The sequence below is a fragment of the Homo sapiens genome, chromosome 13 (genome assembly GCF_000001405.40).
Source record: "Homo sapiens chromosome 13, GRCh38.p14 Primary Assembly".
Lineage (NCBI taxonomy): Eukaryota > Metazoa > Chordata > Mammalia > Primates > Hominidae > Homo > Homo sapiens.
Genome location: NC_000013.11, coordinates 22,855,176 through 22,861,175, shown reverse-complemented (window position 1 = coordinate 22,861,175; position 6,000 = coordinate 22,855,176). Strand labels below are relative to the sequence as shown.

General features: G+C 43.9%; 1 annotated feature.

The window, feature by feature from the left end:
* Positions 1,243-2,030: an enhancer, noted in NCBI's record as "H3K27ac hESC enhancer chr13:23433285-23434072 (GRCh37/hg19 assembly coordinates)". NCBI's record gives its function as "activates a minimal SCP1, AML or CMV promoter by ChIP-STARR-seq in primed H9 embryonic stem cells {active_cell/tissue: H9 hESC(primed)}" and the evidence as "EXISTENCE:reporter gene assay evidence [ECO:0000049][PMID:30033119]".

Here is a 6,000-nt window from a genome sequence, read left to right as displayed (position 1 = left end):
AAATTCGTTTTTCGTTGTGTTTCATTCTATTTCGTTTTTGGAGATACTATGGAGATAATAATCACTTTCACCTTCATTATTTTAATTACTTTTTGGCTTTTCTCTCTTCCTGGAAAATAAAAGAACACCGTGTTATAAAAAAGTTCCCTCTAAAGTAGCTTTTTGTATATAACCTTTAAATAATTAAAACTTCAAAATCTTTTTATAGAAGTTATACAAGAAGGTGCGATATTTACATATTCTTAAGCAAATGGAACTGTGCTTTAGAATAATAGATTATTCCATTCTGAGCAGCATTTATTATTTAAAGTTATTGGAAAGTTGGCACTAAACCTGTACTGAACCAATAAGCTGCAAACCCAAACTACATCACTTTGGCCTTGCATTAAGTACAAGTACAATTGCATTTCCCACAAGTACAATTTACTCTACTGCCCATGACTTTCACGGAGGCTCATTTAAGAAACAGCCAAATATAAAACATGTCTTCATTTAAAAATAAAATTTCTGCAAGGGTGTCATTATTAGTTGATTAGAACTTCTAACAAAGAACTTTAGGCAAAACAAAGTCCTCTTAGGACCCACATAATCGATATTCATTCAGCAAATGTTTTTGTTTGTTTGTTTTTGACATGGATTCTTGCTGTGTCACCCAGGCTGGAGTGCAGTGGCGCAATCTTGGCTCACTGCAAGCTTTGCCCCCTGGGTTCACGCCATTTTCCTGCCTCAGCCTCCCAACTAGCTGGGACTACAGGTGCCTGCCACCATGCCCGGCTAATTTTTTTGTATCTTTAGTAGAGACGGGGTTTCACCATGTTAGCCAGGATGGTCTCGATCTCCTGACCTTGTGATCCACCCTCCTCGGCCTCCCAAAGTGCTGGGATTACAGGTGTGAGCCGCCGCACCCAGCCAGCAAATGTTAATTGAATGTTTACTGTTTGCCTGGCCCTATTCTAGGCACTTGTTACATGACATTGAAGACTCCATGTGAAGTTCTTTTTCTCATGGAGCTTTCATTCATTTGGGTATGATTCCTTCTAGTAAACAATGATGGCTATGTAATTAGTCATGATTCTGTCTTTGCCTCAGTTTCTATGGAGCTCAGATTTAAGACTGGGTGGAGTATACCTCAATCAGGAAGCTCCCATAAAAATGTACAATTAAAAAATAAATTTTCGAATTAGTATTCTCCCTCTCCCTCTCCCTCTCCCTCTCCGTCTCCCTCTCCCTCTCCCTCTCCGTCTCCCTCTCCCTCTCCCCACAGTCTCCCTCTCCCTCTCTTTCCACGGTCTCCCTCTGATGCCGAGCCGAAGCTGGACTGTACTGCTGCCATCTCCGCTCACTGCAACCTCCCTGCCTGATTCTCCTGCCTCAGCCTGCCAAGTGCCTGCGAAAATTGCAGGCGTGCGCCGCCACGCCTGACTGGTTTTCGTATTTTTTTGGTGGAGACGGGGTTTGGCTGTGTTGGCCGGGCTGGTCTCCAGCTCCTAACCGCAAGTGATCCGCCAGCCTCGGCCTCCCGAGGTGCCGGGATTGCAGACCGAGTCTCGTTCACTCAGTGCTCAATGGTGCCCAGGCTGGAGTGCAGTGGCGTGATCTGGGCTCGCTACAACCACCTCCCAGCTGCCTGCCTTGGCCTCCCAAAGAGCCGAGATTGCAGCCTCTGCCAGGCCGCCACCCTGTCTGGGAAGTGAGGAGCGTCTCTGCCTGGCCACCCATCGTCTGGGATGTGAGGAGCCCCTCTGCCTGGCTGCCCAGTCTGGAAAGTGAGGAGCATCTCTTCCCGGCCGCCATCCCATCTAGGAAGTGAGGAGCGTCTCTGCCCGGCCGCCCATCGTCTGAGATGTGGGGAGCGCCTCTGCCCTGCCGCCCCGTCTGGGATGTGAGGGGTGCCTCTGCCCGGCTGTGACCCTGTCTGGGAGGTGAGGAGCGTCTCTGCCCGGCCGCCCCGTCTGAGAAGGGAGGAGACCCTCTGCCCGGCAGCCGCCCCCTCTGAGAAGTAAGGAGCCCCTCCGTCCGGCAGCCACCCCGTCTGGGAAGTGAGGAGCGTCTCCGCCCGGCAGCCACCCCGTCTGGGAGGGAGGTAGGGGTCAGCCCCCGCCAGGCCAGCCGCCCCGTCCGGGAGGGAGGTGGGGGTCAGCCCCCGCCAGGCCAGCCGCCCCGTCCGGGAGGTGAGGGGCGCCTCTGCCCGGCCGCCCCTACTGGGAAGTGAGGAGCCCCTCTGCCCGGCCACCACCCCGTCTGGGAGGTGTACCCAACAGCTCATTGAGAATGGGCCATGATGACAATGGCGGTTTTGTGGAATGGAAAGGGGGGAAAGGTGGGGAAAAGATTGAGAAATCGGATGGTTGCCATGTCTGTGTGGAAAGTAGTAGACATGGGAGACTTTTCATTTTGTTCTGTACTAAGAAAAATTCTTCTGCCGTGGGATCCTGTTGATCTGTGACCTTACCCCCAACCCTGTGCTCTCTGAAACATGTGCTGTGTCCACTCAGGGTTAAATGGATTAAGGGCTGTGCAAGATGTGCTTTGTTAAACAGATGCTTGAAGGCAGCATGCTCATTAAGAGTCATCACCACTCCCTAATCTTAAGTACCCAGGGACACAAACACTGCGGAAGGCCGCAGGGTCCTCTGCCTAGGAAAACCAGAGACCTTTGTTCACTTGTTTATCTGCTGACCCTCCCTCCACTATTGTCCTATGACCCTGCCAAATCCCCCTCTGCGAGGAACACCCAAGAATGATCAATAAAAATAAATAAATAAATAAAAATTAGTATTTACACACATGCATGTGTCTGTGTGTGCACATGTACATGTACCTATACAATGAAAACAACGGTAATATTTCAGAAAACTGTTATACATTAAAAATGAAACATCGCAAAAAAAATAAATTTTCTCTATTTTAATAATCATTACTAAAAAAATCACAAGTATGAAACTGAAAGATGATAAAAGCTTTTCCCTTGAGATCAGGAATTATACCAAGTTATCGGCTGCTACTGCGATATTTAACATTATGTCTTGTCAGTGCAATAAGGCAAGAAATATGTATAAATGATTAAAAGCAGGAATCTAAATAGATTAGAAAAGAAGAAATAAACTTTCATTACTTGCAGACGTAAGTGGCTATGTAGGAAATCCAAAAATATCTTTGGAAAAGCTGTCAAAAATAATTATAGTTAGCAAGCTTGCTGATTAAGTGAAATAATTATGTTCCTATATACTAGCAAAAAATAGAAAAAAGATTTATAAAAAAGTTAGAATTTAGAATATCATTTGCAATAGCAACACAAACATTACAGACTTCAGGATAAATGTAATCAAGATGTGCAAAACTTCTACACTGAAAGCCATAAAACATAATTGAGAGAAATTACATAAATGGGATATATACCATATTCATGGATTGAAAGACTCATTATTTATAATCTGTAAATTTTTTCCAATTTTTGTATAAATTTTCTGTAATCCCAGTGAAAATCTCAGTAGGGTTTTGTGTGTGTGTGTGTGCATGTGTGTGTGTGTGTAGTGGCAAGCTGATTTGTACTACCAGATATCAAAATGTATTATAAAGCTACAAAGCTACAGTGATTAAGACATTCTGGTGTTGGGATAGATAGATAGGAAAAATAGACTAATGGAATAGAATAGAGTGTCTAGAAACAGATCCAGATATACATAGTTACCCAAATTAGAAAAAAAGATTCTTCCTTTTTAGCAAATGAGACTAGATCAATCAGATAACCACATAAGGAAAAAAATTTGTCTTTTTCCTAATGCATATACTAAAGTCAATTCCAATGGAGACTTAAGTGTGAAAGGTAAAGAAATATAGTTTCTATAATATTACATATGAGAATAATTTTTTGACCTTGGGTTAAACCAATTGTTCTTAAACCAGACATAAAAAGACTAATACATTGCCAGGTGTGGTGGTGGGTGCCTATAATCCTAGCTACTTGGGAGGCTGAGGTGGGAGAATCACTTGAGCACAGGAAGCGGAGGTTGCAGTGAGCCAAGATGGCACCACTGCACTCCAGCCTGGGGAACAGAGTGAGATTCTGTCTCCAAAAAAAAGAAAAAGACTAATACAAATGGAATTACATTATAATTATAACTTTTGTTTATTAATATGTACTATTGAGATAAAACAATTCACAAAATGGGGAAAAGAGAATATATACAAACACATACATATCATATATATGTAACAGCTACACAGCAACAAGAAAAAAATAGCCTAAGTGAAACAAATTTTTTCTGTCCCAAGGACTTGAACAAGCACCATACTTTAGAGGATGCAAAATGAGAGGTTAAACGTATGGTCCCCAGTTTGTTCGTTCACAATCTTCTGATCAGGAAGTAGGTTCTGTGGCCTTGAATATATTGTGGCAGTGACTGTTTTGACCCATCGAGTGTGGTGAAATGATGATATGAGATTTCTGAGGCCAGATCATAAGAGGCCATGGAGCGCCATCTCGTTTTCAAGAGGCCCCCTGTTGGTATGCTCCATACTAGAATCAAGTCTTCATGCTGTGAGAGGCCAAACTACATGGCCAGCCCAAGTGTAGGTGCTCCAATCAAGTGCCAGGTGAGCCCAGACTTGCACTGATCCCAGCCCAGGAGCCAGACATACGAGTGAGTAAGGAGTCTCCAGATGATTCCAGCCTTCAGCCCCCAGTGCTGGGTAGCAGAAACACACTCTCATGGCTGAGCCCTAATTTCTTGGGCCACAAAACTGGTATAAGAAACTGACTGTTGCTTAATGCCCCAGGGTGGCCTGTTATGCATCAATAGTAACTAGAACATGGCCAAATATCAATAAGATAATCAACATTTAAAATCACCAGATATATAAACATTAAAACCAGTTAGATGTTTTTGTCTAAGTTATTTTTACTTGGTAGCAAGTCATCCCAAAGTTAACATATTAATATAACAACAATTATTTATTATTCATGACTCTGTGACTTGACTGGGCCATGGTTCTTCTGCTTCCGGTGACATTGACTATTGCTAAGACAGCTGGAATTTCCAAAATGACCTCACTCATGTGTCTAGCAAGTAGTGCTCATGGTTGGCTGGAAGCTTAGCTTGGACTATGACCAGAAGTTTTGGTTCTCCCCCAAAGACCTCTCCACGTGGATTACTGGGCTCCTCTCAGTGTGGAAGCTGATTTCCAACAAGGAGCATTCAAAGATTAGGAGTTCCCAGTGTTCATAAGTGGTTGTAAATCCTTCTCTTGCATCATACTTGCTAAGCACCCACTGGCCAAATCTAATCACATGGCCAAGACCAGAGTCAATGTGGGTAGGGATACACATGGCAAAATACCAGGAGGCATGCTTCATTAAGGATCAATAGTATAGCAAGTTAATACAACTTCATGCACTCACTATTAGAGCTAATCAAAAATAGGAGAAATTACCAGATCTGAGCAAGGATATAGAACTCTGGAATTCTCATTTACATTGTAAGGAGGGGAAATTTTTGCTGTACAATCACTGTGAATAACCATTTTACAGTATCTAGTAAAGGTAAATGAATGCATATCCTATGACCCTGCAACAAAACCCCACACATCTGTGCACCAAAATAGATGTATGGAAATGTTCGGCTGGGCGCGGTGGCTCACACCTGTAATCTCGGCACTTTGGGAGGCCGAGGCGGGCGGATCATGAGGTCAGGAGATGGAGACCATCCTGGCTAACATGGTGAAACCCCGTCTCTACTAAAAATACAAAAAAAATTAGCCGAGTGTGGTGGCGGGCGCCTGTAGTCCCAGCTACTTGGGAGGCTGAGGCAGGAGAATGGCATGAACCCAGAAGGCGGAGCTTGCAGTGAGCTGAGATCCCGCCACTGCGCTTCAGTCTGGGCGACAGAGTGAGACTCCGTCTCAAAAAAAAAAAAAAAAAAGAAAAGAAAATGTTCATCACAGACTTAATCAAAATATCAAAATTGGAAACAAACAAAATGCTCACCAAAAGTAGAACAG